Here is a 23,382-nt window from a genome sequence, read left to right as displayed (position 1 = left end):
TTTCAGGCTTTAATTCAGAGCCAGAGTGCTAAAGCATGAAGCCATGCCACAGAATGCTGTGTACTGAAGCAATCATATTAGTGACAAATGAAAGTAAAATCTACCCTAAAAGAAATAAATGTGTATAAAGACAAGCTTCTGAAGGTAATCAGAATATGTCACCCCCAAATATGCCTTTTTGACAAATATTTTGAAGTAAAGGCAATTAAGAAGCAGCCAATGGAGGAAGAGCTCTCTAGATCCTCCCCTCTTTTCATCTAAAGACAGGATGTAAATTATCTTTTACCGGAGACCATTCTTACCAGCTCAGGGATGTCAGCAGAAGAATGTACAAACACACGTACTCCACTAGTTTCTTCCCATATATTTATCTTCCCACGGTTTCTCGCCTTCGGACACCTAAAATTGCTTTCCATTGTCCTGTCATTTCTCCACAAATGTATTGTTGAAGATGAGCCAGACTTCTAAGCCACTGCGCTTTGAGTTTCACTGAGGTTTCTCCCACGTGCTGTGGACCGCATGCCTTAGTAAACTTGCTTGTTTTTCTCTTGTTAATCAGAGGTCTGTCCCAACTACAAAGTTAGGAATGATGAGGAGAAATTATATTTCCTCCCCCACGCTTTTACTGCCTACATCGTACATTTAAAGTACTTCACACAAATATTAATTTATATCTTCAGCCAGTCCCTATTAGAAAATGCAAATTGCCTTTGGGAAAGCCCAGGGGAAGCCTTCCACAGACTCCTTTTCATCCCCTCGTTCAGGCTAAGAATTTCTCAGCGGAAGAGAACACTGCTAAGATGTTTCCTTACGTTTACTCCGTCAATCTTGCCAGTGATATTTGACCACCAGCAATATAATACAATTCCAAAGAGCTGGTTCTATGATCAACTTGCCCATTTCCTTCTCACCAAAAGCTGGGTACTAACCCTGACATTGTGTAAACGTCTGTAGGACTTGGAAACCTAGCGTGAAAATGTTCGGCATGTTGAAATTGCTTTTGCATTGCAATGAAAAAAATCTCCTAAAAAGGCATGATTGATTTAGGATTGGATTTGATTTAAAATTGACCCCGAAAGTATACCTTTTAGATATGCATTATTGACCACAATCCCACTGGAAACTGTTTAAAACAGTTTTTGTTCATCAGGTCATGTATTTTTAATTTACACCTTACTGATTTCTAAGACAAAAAGAATTGAGATAGTGATGGAAATGTGAATATCCTCAACTGAAATTTAGTCAGAACTTTATTATGTCAAAATTGTTTCCTGTCATTTTGAAGGAAACAAACACAACTAGTTTACTCTTGTATGTGCTATGGAGAGTCTGCAGAATAAGAATACAATTAAGATTTCAATAACTCAGCCGGGCATGGTGGCTCATGCCTGTAATCCTAGCACTTTGGGAGGCCAAGGTAGGTGGATCATGAGGTCAGGAGATCGAGACCATTCTGGCTAACACGGTGAAACCCCGTCTCTACTAAAAATATAAAAAATTAGCCGTGCGTGGTGGTGGGCACCTGTATCCCCAGCTACTTGGGCGGCTGAGGCAGGAGAATGGGAGGCGGAGCTTGCAGTGAGCCAAGATGGCGCCACTGCACTCCAGCCTTTGCGACGAGCGAGACTCCGTCTCAAACAAACAAAGATTTCAATAATTCACTCATTAATTAACAAAGAAAGGTGAATGCTTATTTTTTGCACCAGCTCTAAATAAATTATATTTTAGAAAAAAAGTTTTCATTGCCAAAACATATTTTTAAGCTATGCTTAACTTCACTTTTCTTCAATTAAAAATAACCACAAAACATTCTTAGCCTATTAGATTAGTTCTTTCCAAAGTATGATTAAAAGTGAAACATACAATGGCTACTGCTGCACAACATTGTAAATGTCCTTAATGACAGGGAATTATACACTTTAAAATAACAATACACTTTAAATAATGTGTGCCTTTAAAACTTCTTAAATAATCACGCCTGTAATCCCAGCACTTTGGGAGGCCGAGGCGGGTGGATCACGAGGTCAGGAGATCGAGACCATCCTGGCTAACAGGGTGAAACCCCGCCTCTACTAAAAATACAAAAAATAGCCGGGCGTGGTGGCGGGCGCCTGTAGTTTCAGCTACTCAGGAGGCTGCGGCAGGAGAATGGCGTGAACCCGGGAAGCGGAGCTTGCAGTAAGTCGAGATTGCTTCACTGCACTCCAGCCTGGGCGACACAGCGAGACTCCGTCTCAAAAAACAAACAAACAAACAAAAACTTCTTAAATAAGTGAAACACTGTCATGGGAGTATCTAAATCATACTATTTGTCATTGAAGAAAAGTACCATAAAGTGTATGCTCTGATAATTAGCTGAGGTTTCCATTGCTTTGAACATAATTACTTCAGGTCCGTCCAACAGTTGTCATTACCGTGACAAATATCCCGCATGTCCTAGGGAATACAGCTATTTTCAAATTAATAACTTTTCATTATTAGCTTTGTAACTGTTCTTCAAAAAAAATTGTTTCAGCAGAATTCTTACATGCTGAGCACCCCCAGGGAAGCTGAAATCAGCAAATACTGCCTCAGAAAATCAACGAAGGCCGGGCATGGTGGCTCACGCCTGTGATCTCAGCACTTTGGGAGGCTGAGGCGGGCAGATCACTTGAGGCCAGGAGTTCGAAACCAGCACGGCCAATACGGAGAAACCCTGTGTCTACCAAAAACACAACAAATTAGCCAGGCATAGTGGCACACTCTTATAACCCTAACTATTCAGGAGGCTGAGGCAGGAGAATCGCTTGAACCCAGGAGGCAGAGGTTGCAGTGAGTGGAGATCTCACCACTGCACTCCAGCCTGGGTGACAGCGTGAGGCTCTTGTCTCAAATAGAAAAAAAACAAAGAACAAAAAACAAAAAACCACCACCAACCGCAATACATAGCACCCCTCTGACCTCACCATTGAGTATTGATTCTTACATATATTTCCCATTGTGCTAAGTAATGGTATCATTATCTAAAGCGATAATGACAAGCACCAGGTCATTCAGGGCCTTGTTACCTCCGATGACAGCAGAGTCTCTTCTGTCTGCATTAACCAAGGGCTCTCCCTCATCCACTGGTCCAGAACGACCTACAACAGGGAAAGGAAGAATGATGTTTAATAGCTTGATTTAATCACGCCACAATTTACACATAGCAAACTTTTGTCAATTAAAAGTGAATTAAAATAAGAACATCACAAAAATGTATTTTAAAAAAGGAAAAAAAGAAGGATGACAGAGACGGAGAAAAGAAGGCTTTTGAGAAATTCAAAAACATTTGAGAGAAGCGCAGTTTCAGGTGCGCAGGGGTGGAGGGCCACACACCTGCGCCCCCCGCGAGTCGGGGAGCCAGTTCCCGCGCCGGGGAGCCGGACGCCGCCCCCGCCGCGCAGCGGGCCATAGGGGCCACGTGGCCGCGGACGGTGACCCGGGAGGGGCCGCTGGGGCGCAGCGCCGCCTTCAGGGGAGCAGCGCAGCCGAAGCGCACCGCCGAGAGGCAGCCAGTGAAGCCACTAGTCGCCGCCCGCCTTGTGTCCGGGTCCGCGCCGGCAGCCTCTGAGGACAGAAGGGGAACACACAGTTAGGGCGCAGCGGCGGAGATGGGGGCGCAGGGACACCCCGCATCTGCAAGACAGCGACCCTCGTTCCTTCACTCCAGGAGAGGTCCCTCCGATCCCCTCGTTCCTTCACTCCAGGAGAGGTCACCCTGAATCTTTACCTGTTTGGCAACTATTTCCATTGTCAGGGTTATGAAAGGCAGGTTTTTAACAGATTTGTTCAAGTGCAGATGGCTGGCTCTCTGCAAGTAACAGAGCTTCATAGGAAAGCAGTTACATGGCATAAATTTAAGAAATCCTCTGCCATTTAATTTTTACAATATAGCATTAAAATAAAATTTTAATGGCGCTCACAGCCAATAATCCGGAGGATTACAGAAAAGCGACTCTTGGAGATGAGGGCAGAGCTCTGGAAATCCTTCATACTATAGTTGCTATTTTGTATGATGACTTTCATATTATCTTAATAAACTGTATCTTTTGTCATCAGATAATATCCCTCTTTATCTCATTTAAGATTCGATTATATTCCAATCTTAAATTCAATCTTATCTGAAAGTAGTGCTGCATTTCTTAAATTTATCAGCTGTTGCCTGCTAGTTCTTGGCATGCCCCTTCATTTTCAATATTCTAAGAGCATTTAACTGTTGTTTTTAAACCTAGTTTGACAGAATTTAGTCCATTTGTCTTTAGAGTAATAACCACTATATCTGATTTTATTTTTTATCTTACACTATTTATTTCACATTATTTCATCTTTTTTTCTTTTATTTTGCTGCTTTAATCAGTTTCCTTCTTATTTCCTGCTTTCCCTTTTATGAGTTTGAGAGCTCAACTTCCCTAGCCCTCACAATCAAAATCATGCCTTCACACTGTTATATGAAAACCAGATCCTCTTTTTCCAACTTTCCCCCATTCCCAACAGTGAGATGAGCGATTGCATGGTTCTTTCTCCCCACCCTCCCTCCCACACCACCGCGGGGTTCCCCACAACAGTTCTTCCCTAAATGAGAGGCTTGGGAAATTTTTCTTTTTCTTCTCTCACTTTTCCCTTTTTACTCTTCTTTGGTTTTACTCTAGTACATTTAGATCCTGACCAGAATGACAATTTCTCTTACATTTCTATTTTTCTATGATGTTTCCAGTTCAAGGATCTTTACATAATTTATTTTTTCCAAGAAAGAACTTTGACATGATGGACAAAGATTCTCCCTATGACCAGATGTTGGTCAGGCTACTCTAAGCTCTCTGCTCAACCAGCCTGACCTTTGGTCTTTCATCGTCCAGCTTAGCAAGAATCCTGCCAATTTGCTTTTAACCCAAATCTCCCACCCTCAATATCTGATCACTCTCAATATCTAATCACCTTTCTCATCCCTCTCACCACCCCACAGGTGATGTCTGACAACACTGGCCTGGCATCACCAGGAAACCTGGTGAGTCAGTTTAGCAAGAATTACTCTCCCATTTTGTAGTTTTCCACTCAGACACCCCACCCCAGCCACTCTGCTCCTTGGCTACGAATCCACACTTCTCCTTGTTGTATTTGAAGTTGAGCTCAGTCTCTTTCCCCAACTGCAAAGCCCCATTCCAGTAATTCCTATACCTATTGCCATAGTCCTGAATAAAGTCTGCCACACGATCTTAACAAGAGTATTTTTATCTTTTGACATGATACAAGATGGTTTTACATTAAGTAACTGTAGTTTAGAGAAGAATCACATAATTTTAGGGCAGACCTTTTTTTTTTTTTTTTTTTTTTTTTTTTTTTTTTTTTGAGATGGAGTCTCACTCTGTCCCCAGGCTGGAGTGCAGTGGTGCAATCTCGGCTCACTGCAACCTCCGCCTCCTGGGTACAAGCGATTCTCCTGCCTCAGCCTCCCAAGTAGTTGGGACTACAGGCATGCACCACCACACCCAGCTAATTTTTTTTGTGTATTTTTAGTAGAGACGGGATTTCACCATGTTGGCCAGGACGGTCTCGATCTCTTGACCTTGTGATCTGCCCACCTTGGCCTCCCAAAGTGTCAGGATTACAGGCATGAGCCACTGCGCCCGGCCAGACTTCTCTTTAAAACCCTGAATAAAAACCTTGAGCAATTGTTTAATTTGGAGCTGATGAAACAGAGTAGAACTTTCTTACATCTTTAATAAATGACTTAATTAGAAAATGGTCATATATACTTTGTTTAAGCTGGAAAATCTGAAAGAAAGGAGTTCCTTTGCCCACTCTGAAGTGTACCTGGCAATCACACCACAATCCAGGAAGAAACTCGTGATTCTGTACTCCCAGATTTTAGCCAGCACTACTATTTATTGTTTATCAGTTAACCAATATTCAGTAGAACTCAACTCTTAACTGTGGTGACATGTAGATACAGTTTCCTGTCTATTACCTTGACATGGCAACATGGTCAAAACCCTTCACTTTTGCTACTCTTAGCTGAATAGCTCTAATCAAAAATGTATGGTGACCTGTCTGCCTCCCTTTCTGGGCTTTCTCAACTTCGGGGTCCTGCACCCAGCCCCCTTCCAATTCTCTATTCTGTTCCATCAAAGCCTGCTCCCGAGTAAATTCATGTTTGCACAAATTCCTGGTCATGGCTTTTGATAACACTTTCAGGGGCATGTGTATTTTGGCAGAAGAGTCAAAAGAATGGATCTCTAATACAGAATTTGAAATATTGGCACTTGACGTTGTGGGAAAAAAAATATTTGAGATAGGGTTGTCTTCCCAGCCCATTGAAGTCATGCCAAATAGACAGATGTCTATCCTTACAAAAGGGTGCCACTTGGTTGAACTAAAGGAAAAAACGACTAGATAAGTAAGTGGACAGTCTTCTACACTGTGCAATATGGTAGACACTAGCCACATGTGACCATTGAGATTCAAATCAGGCCAGGCACGGTGGCTCATGCCTGTAATCCCAGCACTTTGGGAGGCCGAGGCGGGCGGATCATGAGGTCAGGAGATCAAGACCATCCTGGCTAACATGGTGAAACCCCGTCTCTACTAAAAATAAAAATAAAAAAAAATAAAAAATAAAAAAAATTAGCCGGGCATGGTGGTGGGTGCCTGCAGTCTCAGCTACTTGGGAGGCTGAGGCAGGAGAATGGCGTGAACCCGGGAGGCAGAGCTTGCAGTGAGCTGAGTTCACGCCACTGTACTCCAGCCTGGATGACAGAGTGAGACTCGATCTCAAAAAAAAAAAAAAAAAAAGAAACTCAAATCAATTAAAATGAAATAAAATGTAAAATTTAGTCCCTCAGTTATACTAGCCCCATTTCTAGTGCTTAAAAACTCATTTATCTCAAGTGTGTCTGGGGACTACCACATAGGACAGCACAGACTTTACACGTTTTCATCATCACAGAAAGTTCTATTGGACAGCATTAGTTTTGTTGACTTATACTTTCAAAGACCTCAAGACATCTGTGATGCCCACTGAATCCTGGTTAATGGACCAAGTTAGAACAATCTTAGAATTTTCTATCGAAGAGAATCTTGAAGATAACTTAGTGCAGCCTCCTCATTTTACCAATAAAGGACTAATTGATATAATCATTGCTCTTTCTTGGGAAAAAAACCCCACAAAATCTCCTATCTTCTTGACTTTTTATAGGGTTTTTGGGTGTTTTTATTCTATAATGTTGAAAGAGGCAATCCACCACTGGCTCTGAGTGTCTCCTCATGCTTTGCTGGGTTTGCCAAGAAGTGCAAGATGCTGACAGCACTTTACTCAGGCCACTTCTCAAGGCTATAATTGAAGCAAGCAACATTGAAGGATAAGGTCATGACCCCCTCCAGGACAAAGAATAGACTTGCTTAGTGCTTGTTACAAAATCGGTGGATTCCCCAAACTCAGTGTTCCTCTGCTACAGTGCAAACATGGCCACAGGTGCAGCCTTCATCTGCACCCGTCACTGCCCCATAAGGCTTCAGGGCCAAGGGAAAACAATGCAAATGAACTGCTGCTCACGAGGCTTGCCGTGCCGTGAGTAATAGGGTCCTTTGTCTCTGTACCAGGACAGCATCCACAAAACAGTTAAAAGCTGTTAACTTCCTAGCTCGTAAATCAGGTAAAATCAAATCCCAGACCCAACATAAAACATTTCTTCTAAATGAGACAAACACCATAGCATAGAAGTAATATAAAATACATAGGTTGATGAATTTTAAATGTTAAAACTGTATGTCTTATGTGACATCTCCTTACAAAACTCAAAAGGCAATTTCCAGAAATATTTAATTACCAAAACTATTTGGCATTCTTACATACCTAGAGCTCTATTTGAAATATAGTCCTTCAGTGGGTTTTCTTTTCTTCAGCCTAGAATGTATACCTCCTAAGGTATATAAGCTCAGCTGTATTCATATGCAACTGTTTACAGGCTAACTTTTTTTACTTTTTGGGAGCAGACAAAAAGGCATCTTCCATTTTTGCACTCTGTATTTTTGATATATATATGTAATTTTTAAGATAGTGTTTAAGGGGCCGGGCGCGGTGGCTCACACCTGTAATCCCAGCACTTTGGGAGACTGAGGCGGGTGGATCACGAGGTCAGGAATTCGAGACCAGCCTGACCAACATGATGAAGCCCCGTCTCTACTAAAAATACAAAAATTAGCCAGGCGTGGTGGTACATGCCTGTAGTCCCAGCTACTCAGGAAGCTGAGGCAGGAGAATCGTGTGAACCTGGGAGGCGGAGGTTGCAGTGAGCCGAGATTGCGCCACTGCACTCCAGCCTGGGCGACAGAGTGATACTCATCTCAAAAGTGTTTAAATACATGTGCACATGTACACACACAAAGCAAAACAGAATACCAATAATACCAAAGTATCTAAAAACAAATCTTAATTTATGATGGATCATCTTTACTGAATTATAAAGTATTTTAGGTGTTTGCATTCTTTAAAGCTACCTCTTGGATAAAATTCAAAGCTATATAGAAAATTCAAAATCTAAAAAGCTTATATTTAAATAGGTTTACTCTGAATTGATCTTGTGATAATCAATCTGAATGGTCTTCATTCACTAAGACTACTCAGAAATGGCAAAATCATATTGAGGTGCTCAGAAACAGCATCTTAATTATGATGGATTTTGGGCCATTTTTTTCTAAGGCATTGTTAGGGTGCATAATAATAAATTAGGCTGGATATGAGCATTATTTTATTAGAATTGCTCATATATTACCCTATGTACCTATTAACATGTGAGTGTAGTGAGGGTGGGTAGGTATAGTGTTTCTCTCATTCAGAGGCTTTCTCCGTGCTTAATAAACTGTTCATAGCAGATGCTCACCAAGTTTTTTTTTTTTTTTTTTTTTTTTTTTTTTGAGACAGAGTCTCGCTCTGTCATCCAGGCTGGAGTGCAGGATCTCTGCTCACTGCAAGCTCCGCCTCCTAGGTTCACGCCATTCTCCTGCCTCAGCCTCCCGAGTAGCTGGGACTACAGGCGCCCGCCACCGTGCCCGGCTAATTTTTTTTGTATTTTTAGTAGAGACAGGGTTTCACCGTGTTAGCCAGGATGGTCTGGATCTCCTGACCTCGTGATCCGCCCGCCTCGGCCTCCCAAAGTGCTGGGATTACAGGCGTAAGCCACCACGCCCAGCCGCTCACCAAATATTTTTAAATGAAGGGATGAATCAAAGATTTACAGGGACTCAAGAGAAATATATTGGTAACTTAGAACACCGTGTTTTGGGTAACTTTATTTGTAAAATTAGTGGCTTCTCTATTAGCCAACTTGTTGGTCTATTTTACTATAAGTTAAGGAAAGCACTTCCTATATAATTCCAAATTTAAAGATAAAGTTGTAGTTTTGGTATAATTACTAAATGATGTGAGAGTGGCAAAAAATGTATAGCAGAACCAATCCTAAAATACAGTTTTTCAAAGTATAAAGTGTTTTATTAATGTTTGATGATTATCTCTACCTCCAAGGACAGGCAAAATGAATATTTATAATTTTCTGAGATCAATTGCTTCTGAGTATATACTTCGTTGCTGAATTTCAATGTAGATTTTTATACCGTAAGTTACATGCCTTTGAATACACCATCCTTGAATGAAAACATTAACACCTTCAATTCCATGTTCTCCTTTATTTGGAAGGAAACAAAGATGTATATAATAAATATTATTCAACTTTTTGATCCTAATATTAAAGTATAGTTCATTTTCTTAATTGAGTTACATAAGATGGGTTTTTTTTAAAAAAGATTACTTTCCTCAGTTCCTTTATTAAATGTAAAGCTAACTGTGCTTTTACAACAGGTTATGATAGACAATATGATAGACAATTACTGTAACTTTCTACCTTGCGTAACAGATATTTATGAATATGCCTCCCCATTCCTGTTAGATACTAAAGTCAAAAAGGATGGAAACAACAGGCAAAGCAGGGCTTGAGAGAGAAATAAAACTGTATTCATCTGCTGTAATAAGATTACCAGTTTTTTCTCTTGTGTTCAACTCAAATGTAGTTTTATCATTGAATGATGGTCTCCGGAGTTGATGTTGATTAATACATACATAATCTGTGAACTTCGTGTCAGCTTTGATAACATTTCACTTTTCAAGAAGGGTTAGAAAAATACCGTGATTCATTATGCATGATTGCCAAGTGAGAGGTTAAGTGTGGAGGTATTTTTCCAGGAACGCCCTTGCACATCTCACAGGCAGCACTTACTCATGATTATATGTACACTCAGGCAAGAGTACAGTTTGCACCTTGATTGTCACTCACTGTGAAATTATTATTCAAGTAAGACAAGGAGCTTCTTTCAGCATGATGAATGCTTCCAGAGTTTGTGACATGACACTTAGATTTTTTGGGAAAAAGCTCTTTCTCCTACTTACCTAAAACCTTTCCCAATATGAGAGATTTGACGGCGTTGAATTCTGTCCCTGAGGACAAGATGACTTGTTTCTTTGCGCTCTGGTTAACCTATTAGATGTCCCATGAGAAGCAAACATCAACACAAAGTACAATTTTAATGATAAGGAAGCAAAGGAAGATGAGGAAAGGAAAGATGAAAATAAATCACTTTTAAGTACCACTACAAAAGCTCAAGAAGCCACCTTCAAATAATTAATCATTTAGAAGGGGAAGCTATTTTATAAGCAATTCCTATGATGCCATCAGCTACCACCCTATCCACGATGTACCCACTTGCTGGCTTTACTCTTCTTCATAATGGAAGGATCTATAATTGGCAGAATCCATGAAAAAGATGGAACTGGCTGTTTTAAACTTAAATACGTACTCATTCTGTGGAGAAAATATGAAACATAAAACCAAGCACTGCTGTTCTCTATACAGTATATTTTCCTTCCAATGCCAATGACAATGTGTAATTTACTTCCTCTGTGGTGACTCAGGTCTATTTTCTTACTTATTCCCATTTTAATAACTATGTTGTGTGCTTTTAAACCGTGTTTTTAAGTTGCTAAAGTATTTGTTCTTTTATAATCGGAATAAGACAAGTTCCCACTGCAATATCAATGAATAGATTCCACCAGTAGTCACTATGATAAACTAGAGAACATTCCCCTATTGAGTAAAGTAAAACAAATAAAGATATTTTGATATTTTAAATAGTAAAATATTAATAATACCTTTGACGGAATTGCATTGCTAAACAAACAAAACAAAGCAATACAGAATAAACAACCACCTCCTCTCTCCCAGATCCTGGCCATATTTAGCCTCTTCTTGACTTATGGAAGAGCAGCACTGAATGGGTTGCTCTTCTATTAATATTTATTATCAAATTTTTTCATTAGATTATTTGTTCTCAAAATAATAATATTAGTTAGTTTGACTTTTGCATTTGTGGGATTACCTCTACCATGACCACGGCTTCTTCTCTGTTAATCTTCACTTGGTGAAGTTGCCCATCAGCCATGTTTTTAAAATCAAAGGTAAATGCATCAGGATTTTGATGTCTATCTAGCTTGTACCTAATCTGCAAACTTCCTAAAAAGAAAAATAAATGGCATTTAAAATTAAAGTGGTATTTTATAAAACTCTTGATACAGATTCTAGAGCACTTTTATTATTATTTACTTATAGCACTTTTGAATCTATTTAGCATCAATTTAGATGCACCCAATAGTTATCTTTCCTGGAACAGTGATTACTTAGGTGCTATTCCTGTGCCAGACTCTGAGTCCAATGATGCTATTTTAAAAGTCAAGACTAAATGTGTTGTTAATAAGCAGTCTCCCCAAAGCTTTTCATTTAAAAATGAAAAGGTTTAAATTATGCATATGAGCTCAGAACTCAGATCTAAATTCATTATGACTTTGATATTTATGAAATGATGAAACTCTATGCAATATTGTATCAACATTCAGTTCCTGTAATTATAACTTCTAATAAGGCTCATTTTAATGTATTACTGATATGTGCATAAAGATTTTTTATAGCCAGATTATTTTAAGTCTTCTGCCATAATCCAAAAATGAGGACAAGAAAGGGTTTTGTCAGGAGACAAGGTTTCCATAGTATCTACATCTTCTAATATACATACTCCTCTCCTACACAGATGTACCCTCATTATCTGTAATTCTCTTTTAGCTTATACTAAGATCCTGTTAATCGGAGATTTTTTTTTTTTTTTTTTTTTGAGGTGGAGTCTCGCTCTGTCACCCAGGCTGGAGTGCAGTGGCGCGATCTCGGCTCACTGCAAGCTCCGCCTCCTGGGTTCACGCCATTCTCCTGCCTCAGCCTCCCGAGTAGCTGGGACTACAGGTGCCCACCACCATGCCCGGCTCATTTTTTGTATTTTTAGTAGAGATGGGGTTTCACCGTGTTAGCCAGGATGGTCTCGATCTCCTGACCTCGTGATCCACCCGCCTTGGCCTCCCAAAGTGCTGGGATTATAGGCGTGAGCCACCGTGTCCAGCCTAATCAGAGATTTTGTAGATTTTTTTCTAGACATGAAATTTTTGTGCTGTGTACCTAACAAACTTAAAGCTTGGTCTTCTTGTTCAACTGTGAAAACCTTGCAACGCCCCAATTACCACTGTTTGAGAGGCTGTCATTACACTTTTCTTCTATAAAAGTGATATAACTAGTTTTTCAGCCACTGACGAGATAAAGAACAGCTGTACTTATCTGTTGCTTATAGGAATTGGCTTTTATATAGTTGCACTATAACATCCACATAAATGCTCCTCTATTTTGCTTAGAATGAGGAGGGAATGTATGTCATGTATCTAGATATCTTATTTCAAAATGAACTGCAAAACCAATTTGAGTCATCATGTACTATTAAAGTCATCCTATCAATAATAAGAAATATAACTGCATATCAACTCCGTTAAATTATCAAACATGTAATGGGAGAAAAGCATCTTAATTTAATCTTGAAATGCTAGCTTTTATAATAACCATTAAGGGAGGCACTGAAAAACCAAACCCATTGGAGGGCATACAGTTTTCTCTCATCGTTTGTAGTTTGACTGCTGAAAAGACCCATGTCATTACAGTCCTATTTTTCTAACTCAGGGTTCTCTTTTTCTTTACACAAAAGATATTCACCATTGTTGGCGAGGATAACTGAAAGGTATTCCTCATAGAAAGAGCTCACATACAGCAATAAGCTCGGAGTTCGTGTGGTTCGGAAGCTCAGTGTGATCATTTCTCTGGTCAATGTTACATCTCTGTGTAATGAAGAAACGAGAGAGCTGGAGTTTTCACTTAAAGTGTAATGTTCTTGAAAATGGTATGTCATTGAGGAGCCAGTTGCGAAATATGCGGAAATCTCTGAAATGATAAATACATTTTTGTTATGTTAACAAAATGTAAGTCCAACGGTCTTGTTTTAAGTACATTTAGAGAATGAGACCAAACCTTAAATATCCTGGGAGATAAAGTAATAGTGAAATCCTTTCCTGTTTTATTTTTTATTTTTCACTTTTTAAAGTTTTTTAAAAACTACAACTTGAAGAAAAAGTAGCAAACTCCAATATACTCATAACCCAGAATTGACTAACACTTAATAGAGATTTTAATTCTCCAAATCATCCTCATCTTATATTTACATATAACTAATTCTTCAGTATAAATGTATAATTTATAGGTGACTTATCTCATCTTTGGTTTTCAATTTTTTCCCAAATCATTAATTTTTAAACATCTTTATTCAGATATAATCCATATGCCATGTAATAGACCCAATTACAGTGTAAAATTCTATGTCTTTTAGTATATTTGCAGGCATGTGCAAACATTGCCATGATCAATTTTAGAGTATTTTCACTCCCCTCCCCCGAGCACCTTCTTATTCCCTCCTACAAAAACCTCCATAACCTCTAGCAGTCATTCTCTGTTTCTCCCCAACACCCCAGCCTAGGCAACTACTAATTTACTTTCTGTCTCTGCAGAGGTTCCTATTCGAGAGATTTCATATCAGTGGAATCATATAACGTGTGGTCTTTTCAATCTGGCCTCTTTCACTTAACATGGTATTTTCAAGGTTCATCCATCTTGTAGCGTGTGTCAGTATTTTATGCATTTTATTGAATAATATTTCATTGGATGTAAATAGTAATGGATGTGCCACATTTTGCGGATCTATTTAACAGTTGATAGACATTTGGGTTGTTTCCACTTTTTGACTATTATAAATAATGCTTCCATGAAAATTCACGTGTAAGTTTTTCTATGGATACATTTTTATTTTTCTTAGGAATATATACCTAGGAGTAAAATTGTTCAATCTTATGATAACACCAACTTTAAAATTTGGAGGAGCTGCCATATTTTTTCCAAAATAGCTATACCATTTTACATTTCAAACAGCAATCATGAGGGTTTTAATATCTCCACATCCTCACCAACATTTATTATTATCATTCTTTTAAATTACAGCTATACTTGTCTGTGTGAAGAGGTATTTCATTGTGACTTTGATTGCCTACTGGCTAATGTTGCCAACTATTTTTTCATGATTTTATTGGACATTCACACATATTTGCTGAAGAAATATTTACTTATAAGCTTTACCTATTATTTAATTAGGTTAAATTTCTTTTTCTTATTCAGTTGTTGGTTTTTTGTTTTTATTTTTGTTTTTTTGAGACAGAGTCTCACTCTGTTGCCCAGGCTGGAGTGCAGTGGCGTGATCTCTGCTCACTGCAAGCTCTGCCTCCTGGGTTCACGCCATTCTCCTGCCTCAGCCTCTCGAGTAGCTGGGACTACAGGCGCCCGCCACCACGCCCGGCTAATTTTTTGTATTTTTAGTAGAGATGGGGTTTCACTGTGTTAGCCAGGATGGTCTCGAACTCCTGACCTCGTGATCTGCCCACCTCGGCCTCCCAAAATGCTGGGATTACAGGTGTGAGCCACCACACACGGCATCTTATTCAGTTGTAAAAGCTCTTTAAATAATTTGAATACTAGACCCTTATAAGAGACATGATTTGCAATAATTTCTTCCATTCTGTGGGTTATCTTCTCTTTTGTTCTCCCATGTTTTAACAGTTTTATAGTTTTAGTTCTTACATTGAGGTCTATTTGGTACATTTTTATGTATGTGTGAGATAGAGGTCTAATTTCATTCATTTGCATGTGCATGTATACTCAGTAGTCTCAGAGACTACTTCTTCCCATTGGGTTGTCCTGGCACTCTTGTAAAATCCATTGACCATAAATGGCGAGGTATCTATCTGGACTTTCAATTTTATCCCAATGAGCTATCTGTTTAGTCTTAGGCCAGTTATATACTGCTTTACATTAAGTTTAGAAATTGGGCAGTGTGAATCTATCAAATTTCTTCTTCTTAAAGATTGTTTTGGCTATTCTGCATCATTTAAATTTTCATATGAAATCAGCTTGTCAATTTCAGGAAAGAAGCCAGCTGGGATATTGATTGAAACTGTACTGAATCTGTATATTACTTTAGAGAACACTGGTATTTTATTTATATTAATTATTCAATCCATGACATGAAATATCTCTCCATTTATTTACCTTTAAATTCTTTCAATGCTTTATAGTTTTCAGTGTGTTTTCCATTTCTTTTGTTAAATGTATTGCTATGTATGTTATTCTTTTTGATGCTACTGTAAATAAAATTGTTTTATTGGTTTTATTTTCAGATGGTTCACAGCTAATTTGTAGAAATACAATTGATTTTGTATATTGTTTTTGCATTCTGCAATTTTGTTGAACTTGGTTTTAGTTTTAATTGTTCTAAGTAGATTCTTTGGGATTTTTTTATATAAAAAATCATGTCATCCTCAAATAGAGATAGTTTTATTTCCTTTCTAATTTGGATGTTTTTCTTCTTTTTTTTTTTTTTTCATTTTCTTGCCTAATCAGTCTGGCCTGAACCTCTAGTACAATGCTGAATAGAACTAGTGAGAGTATACATTCTTGTCTCATTCTTGATCTTAGGAAAAAAAATTCAGTCTTTAAAATTAAATATAATTTTAGCTATGAGTTTTTCAAAAATACCATTTGTTAGACTGAGGAAGTTATCGTCTATAATTAGTTTACTGAATTTAAACAAAAATTCATGAAAGGATGTTGGATTTTATCAAATGACTTTTCTGCATCAGTAGAGCCTATCATGTGTTTCTGTCCTTTATTCTAAGATATAGTATATTATATTAATTGATTTTCAGCTGTTAAAACAACTTTCCATTTCTGGGATCATTTCCACTTTGTCTTGATGTATAGTCATTTTTATATGTGACTGGATTTGCTTTGGTAATACTCTGTTCAGGGTTTTCACATCTATCTACTTAAATGATATTGGTCTGTAGATTTAAAATATATATACTGGTATATCTATGTCTGGCTTTGGTATTAGGGAAATACTGACCTTACAGAATAAGTTGAAAAATGCTCCTTTCTCTTTTATTTTTTGGAAGAGTTTTGAAGAATTAATACTTCTTATTTAAATAGTTGATATATTTTTAAATAGTTGATATATTCTGATAGTTGATAGCATCAATTGTTTGAAACCATCTGGACCTGGGCTTTACTTTCTGTGGTATTTTAATATTATTAAGGCATTCCTTTTATTGTTATAGGCCAATTTATATTTTCTCCTCCTTCTTGAAACAGAAGTAGTAGTTTGTGTTAATTTTGTAGTTAGTGTCATCCTAGGAATTCGTCCATTTTATCTAAGTTATGTAATTTTTTTCAACATACAGTTGTTTATATTCTCTTGCAATCCATGTTATTTCTGTAAGGTTGGTAGTAATATCACTCTTTCATATGTCATTCTAGTAATTTGAATCATCTCTTTTATTCTTGGTCAGTTGTACTAAAGGTTTGCCAATTTTGTTAACAATTTTAAAGGACTGACTTTTGGTTTGGTTAATTTTTTCTGTCACTTTTATATTATCCATTTGAGAAATTTCTCCTGTTTTATTTATTATTTCCTGTTTCTCCTTACATTAGATTTAGTTTGCTCTTCTTTTTTCAGTGTCTTAAGGTGGCAGGTCAGGTTTTTTATTTGGGAACCATTTTTCTTTTTAAATATTGATGTTTACAGCTTTAAAATTCCCTCTAAACCCTGCTTTAGCTGTGTTACTATATGTTTTAGTAATGTTGTATTTTTGCTTTCATTTATCTCAAAACCTTTTCTAATTTCCCTTTTGATTTCGGAGTGTATAGTTTAATTTCCACATATTTGTGATATTCCACAATTTCTTTATGTTATTAATTTCATCTCATTGTGTTTTAAAAAGACCCTTCATATGATTTCAATCCTTTTAAATGTGTTGAGGCTTGATTTACAGGTAGCATGTTGTCTAACCTAGAATATGTTCCATGAACACTTGAGAAGAATATACATTCTGCTATTGTTAAGTGGTGTGTTCTACAGATGTGTGTTAGAATGATTGCGTTTTTATTTTTTTCAACTCTATTTTCTTGGTAATCTTCTGAGTAATTATTCTATCCTTTATTGAAAGTGAAGTATTGAATCCTCCAGGTTTTATTCCTGGTTTTTCTATTTCTCTTTTCAGTTCTGTCAGGTATTCTTTATGCAATTTGGGGCTATATTATTAACTGCATATAAGTTTGTAATTGTTATATCTTTTTGAGGGAATTAACTTTTTATCATTATATAAGTTTCCCTATTTCTAGTAGCACCTTTTGTTTTAGAGTTTATTTTTTCTGGTATTAGTATAGTCCCTTTGGCTCTCTAGGGTTACTCTTTGCATGGTACATGTTTTCCCTTCTTTTATTTTCAACTAAATTACCCCTTTCAATCTAAATTGTATGTCCTTAGACAGCATATAGTTAAGATTTCTTTTGTTATCCATTCTGACAATATTTGTCTTTTGATTGGATTGCTCAATCGATGAACATTTAATATTATTATTGATACAGTTAGATTTACATCTGCCATTTTCTTTTTCTTTTTCTATGTGTTTCATTTGTTTTCTTGTCACTTTCCTTCTGACTTATTATTTTGTGTTGGTGGATATTTTGGAGTGTAACATTTTAATTTCTTTCTTGATTTCACTATACTTTGGGGTAAAATATATATAATATATAATTTGCCACTTAACCATTTAAAATATGAAATTCAGTAGCATTAATTAAATTCACAATGTTGTGCAATTATCACCTCTTTTGATATCCAAAATTTTTCATCATCCCAAAATTAAACTGTATTCATTAAGCAATAACTCTCCATTGCCCCCTCATCTCAGCTGCTGGTATCCTTGAATCTACTTTGTCTCTACAAATTTGTCTATTGATATCTAGTAAACATGAAGTTATATAATATCTGCCCTCTTGGGTCTGGCTTATTTCACTTAGCATAATGTCTTCTATGTTAATTAATGTTGTATCATGTATCAGAACCTCATTCCTTTTAATGGCTGAACAATATACCATTATATGTATACACTACATTTTTTAATCAATTCATGTGTTGACGGACACTTGTATTATTTCCACTATTGTGATTAGTGCTACTATGAACATTTGTATACAAGTATCTGCTTGAGTTCTTGTTTTCAATTGTTTTGGTTATATATGTAGAAGTGGAATTGCTGGGTTCGAAGGTAATTCTATGTTTAACTATTTTGAGTTAACTCTAAATCAATTTCTACAGTGGCTGTGGCATTTACTTTCCCACCAGTAACAAAAGAGAGTTCCAATTTCTCTAGGTTCTTGCCAAAACTTGTTATTTTCTGTTTTTATTTATTTATTTATTTATTTTTATAGTCAATCTAGTAGGTTTGAAGAGGCAGCTCATTATACTTTTCGTTTGCATTTCTTTAATAACTAATGATGTCGAGTATCATCTTTCCATGTGATTATTGACTCTTTGTATATCTTTTTGGAGAAATGTCTCATCAAGTCCTTTGTCCAATTAGACTTTTTGTTGTTAAGTTGTGGAAATTATTAACATATTCTAGATAGTGAACCTCCATCAGATACATAATTTGCAAATATTTTATCACATTCTGTGGATTGTCTTTTTACTCTCTTGATAGTGTTCTTTGATACACAGAAGTTGTTAAATTTTATAAAGTCCAAATAATCTATTTTTGTTGTTGTTGTTGCCCGTGCTTTTGGGGTGATTTTTAAAAAACCACTGCCAAATCCAAGATCATGAAGATCTGCCTATATATCTTCTAAAAATTTTATAGTTTTAGCTTTTAGATTTAAAACTTTGATTCATTTTGAGTTAATTTTGGTAAGGGTCTAACTTCAATCTTTGCATGTGAACATCCACTTTTCCTACCTTTATGTTGAATAGACTGTTACTTCCCTACTGAATGATCTTGACAAAGACTATGTTAAACATCAATTGACTGTATGTATGTAGGTTTATTTCTGGCCTCTCAGCTCTATTCCATTGATTTATAGGTTTATCCTCATTCAGTACCACATTGTTTTGAATAATGTAGTTTATAGTAAGTTTTGAAGTCAAGAAGGGTGAATCCTCCAACTTTGTTCTTTTGTAAAATTGTTTTGCTTATTCTGGGCTTTTTCAAATTTTATTTAAATATTGATAGGGGCTTTTTCATTTGTATAAAAAGTGCTTTGGGGATTCTGATAAGAATTAGATTGAATCTGCTGGGGTTGTATTGTCATTTTAATAATCTCAAGTTTTCCAATTCATGAATATGGAATGTCTTTCCATCTATTTAGTTCTTTCTTTAATCTCTTTCAACAACGTTTTATAGTTTTCAATGTCTAAGTCTTTCACTTTCTCAGTTAAGTTTATTTCTAAGTTTTTTATTCTTTTTGATGATATTGCAAATGGAATTGTTTCCTTAATCTCACTTTCAGATTTTTCATTGCTAGTGTAGAGAAATACAACCAAATTTTTGGTGTTAATTTTGTATCCTGCAACTTTGCTGAATTTATTTATTTTCTCTTAACAGCTTTTATTTTCTGAAGAGTTTTCTACATATAAGATAAGGTAATCTGAGAGAGAGATAGCCTTTCTATTGAAATTTGGATGCCTTTTATTTCTTCTTCTTGCTTAATGACTTTAGCTGGAACTTCCAGTACTATGATAAATAGAGGTGGTAAAACTGGGCATACTTGTTGTGTTTCTTATTTTACGGAAGAAGCTTTCACCATTGAGTATGATGTTAGTTGCAGGTTTTTCATATATGGCCTTTATCATATTGAGAAAGTTCCCTTCTATTCCTAGTTTATTGAGTGTTTTTGTTTTTCAATCATGAAAGGTTACTGGAGTTTGTTAAATGTTTTTTTTTTCAGCAACAATTAAGATAATCATGTTTTTTTTCCCCTCTCATTCTATTAATCTTGTGTAATATGTTGACTGATTTTCATTTGTTGAACCACTCCTGAAATCCTGGGATAAATCCTACTAGTTTTTGGTATATAGGCCTTTTAATATACTTCATGACAATGTTTTATTTTCTTTAGTGATTGCTCTAAGCTTGCATTATATATATCTTATCAATAATCTGCTTCAGGTTTACACTAACTTAATACAAGTGAGATTTAGAAAAGTTATTTCTACATAGCTCTATTTCTTCTCTTTTGGAACTATTTTTATGCATACCAAACCCATTATTAGTTTATATAATTTGTTCTCTTTTTAAAAAATCTGAGAAAAGAAAAAAGATCAAATAAATATTTATAGACTTTGTCTATAAACTCTCTTATTTACCATTTCTAGTTCTCTTTCTTTGTTCCTCTGACTCATGTTACCATTTGGTGTTATTCCTTATTTCAGTACAGCCTTGCTGCCATCTGTCTCCTCTGTGCTGTTTTTTTGTAATATATTTCTATAGGCCCAACAATGAAAATATATACATTATATATTTGTATATTCTCTATTATAGTTTTATACATTGCTTTTTAAAATAGTTAAGCACTGAAAAGGGTAAGAAATATGACATTATACTTTCTTTTATAATTACCTGCACACTTACTTTTATTAGTGCTATTTGTTTTTTGTGTGTAGATTCAGATTATTGTCTGGGTTATGTCCCTTCAACCTGAAGGAACATTCTTTGTTATTTCCTCTAATGCAGGCTAATAGCAGTGAATTCTCTGCTTTTTGTAAGTAGGGATATATTTACTATCTTTTATAATTTTTAGTTTTTATGAATACCTAATAGTTGTATGTATTTATGGGGTAGAGGTAATATTTTGATACAACCAAACAATGTGTAATGATCAAATCAGGGTAACTGAGATATCCATCACCTTAAACATTTATCATTTCTTTTTGTTAGGAACATTCCAGTTCCACTCTTCTAGTTATTTTGAAATATACAATAAATTATTGTTAACTATAGTCATCCTGTGCTACTGAACATGAAAGATGGTTGTGCTGGGTGTAAGTTTCTTCATGACAATGGTTTTCTTTCATCTCTTTGAATATGTTATCTCACTGTCCTTTGGCCTCCATTCTTTCAGATTAGAAGTTAGCTGTTGATCCTGGCGTTTCCTTGTATATATGATTTTTCTCTTACTGCTTTTAAAATTTCCTTCTTGACTTTGGCTTTCAAAGTTTTTAATAAGATGTGTCTGGATATAAACTTCTTTGTGTCATCTGTATTTCACTGAGCTTCTGTATCTTAGATTAATGATTTTTATTAATTTGGGAATGTTTTCAACCATTATTTTTCAAATATTTTTTTCTGATCCTTTCTCTCTCTCCTGGTGTTTTCAATTACGTATATGTTGGTGTGCTTAGTTATGTCTGATATTTCTCTGATGATCTGTTTATTTTTTTCATTATTATTTCTCTGTATTCTTCAGGATACATAATCTCTACTGATCTTGCTTCAAGTTTGCTGATTCTTTTTTCTTTTCTCTGTTAAACTTCCCTGGCTTAACTCATTACTCTCTTGGAGTTATCAACATTCTCTTAATTGCTTACTGCCAATATCTTCATACCACTAGCTTAAACTTATCCATGCTCTGTTCCAAATAGAAATCAGTTCACTTGGGGAGGGCTACCAAGCTGTGTATTTTCATGGCCTCCCTCTACCTCTTGGTTAAATGTGCCTCACTGCTCTGAAGCTGTGGAGAGTGAGAGTGGCCTGCTCCTTTGTAGTAAAACCTCTGCTTACAAGTAGGGCACAGGGTGGGAAAGGTAACTTCTTGCCTTGCCTCTCCTGGTGGAGAAACTGTTCCTTACAAGTAAGCTGGAGTGAGGGCAATTGGGACACAGGATTTTTCCAGCTGCCACACCTGAAGACCTTATGTCCTGGAATGAGGAGTTGGTGTAGGAAGGAAACCCCAGACTTCTCAGCTGTTTCTGCGTGGACAGAGCTTCTGTCCTACAAAACTGGGGATGACAAGAAATGCTGGCACCCAATCTTGGGGTAATGCAGTATCTCTGTAGTAGGACCTGGGTAGAGAGGAAACCTTTGGCTTCTTGGCTATATCCATATAGAGTGGAGCTTCCGTCATACTGAGCTAGGGATGGGGAGGTGCAGGGAGAGGGTCTTGGCTTAAATGCCTCAAACTCTCACTGTTATTACTGATTAATAAATGTTTCTCCATTGGATGTATTTCCTTAGGACATTTTCTAAAGACTTTCAATAGTTGTTTTTTAAAATAATAATTTTTACTAGTTATGCCTGTTTCGTATGAGAGAGGGTTTACAGAGCTCCTTATGTGGCCAGCCTGGAAATGCCAGAGTACCAGGTTTTTTATTTGAATGTTACCTCCTCTTTAAAAATCGATTTGCTTTGTAGGAAGCATGAAACAGAGCTCCTGAAGTAACTAGAGAAAAGGTGATTTGAAGACCAACCCTCCTTCAAGGTCAGAATTTAGAAATGTTCTTTTATGCCAAAGATGTTTCTCAAATTTACTGTCTGGATAGAAAGGCTAATCCAAAGTGGTATCTACAGTATTCTGAGAGAGAAAAGTTGAAGGTCTTTCAGCTTCTCTTAAAACACTTTATGAAAGGTTGATATTTTAATTTTATATCAAGTTAATTCCAAAAATGTGTTTAGTACACACATACACATACACACACACCCCAAATGTATCTGTAAATAAAAAGAAAATGTTGGGTGATGATCACTGTCTTGGAATACTACTCCACTCTTTCCATTTCCATAAAATATAAAGAATTTACTGAAAATCCAGATCATTCTTATTAGATTAGGTAATCTAACTATAACATATGCCCCAGCCACTGGAGGACCATTTTCCATTTACTTACCATATAATGTCTATCCTTAAGAAAATTTTGGGTTATAAAATAACATTCAAATTGCACTTAGCAAATGTGGATTGGGAATGATTTAGAAATCAGCACTTGTGCTCATGAAGGAGTGGTTACTCCTGATGTTGGCTTGAG

The 23,382-nt window shown here is 36.5% G+C and overlaps 1 pseudogene across 1 annotated transcript in view; it reads right to left on the bottom strand.

The window, feature by feature from the left end:
* Positions 1-23,382, bottom strand: part of CNTNAP3P2 (CNTNAP3 pseudogene 2) — a 237,697-nt pseudogene that overhangs the window by 5,108 nt on the left and 209,207 nt on the right. The window contains exons 19-23 of the transcript NR_111893.2: positions 13,143-13,367; positions 11,440-11,573; positions 10,454-10,541; positions 3,355-3,585; positions 3,048-3,119 (exon numbers count right to left, since the gene is read on the bottom strand). The product of NR_111893.2 is annotated as a CNTNAP3 pseudogene 2 (transcript). The remainder of the gene's footprint in view (positions 1-3,047; positions 3,120-3,354; positions 3,586-10,453; positions 10,542-11,439; positions 11,574-13,142; positions 13,368-23,382) is intronic.

This window comes from Homo sapiens, chromosome 9 (genome assembly GCF_000001405.40).
Source record: "Homo sapiens chromosome 9, GRCh38.p14 Primary Assembly".
Classification (NCBI taxonomy): domain Eukaryota; kingdom Metazoa; phylum Chordata; class Mammalia; order Primates; family Hominidae; genus Homo; species Homo sapiens.
Note: the sequence above shows the minus strand (reverse complement) of the source record. Positions and strands in the feature narration are given on the sequence as shown.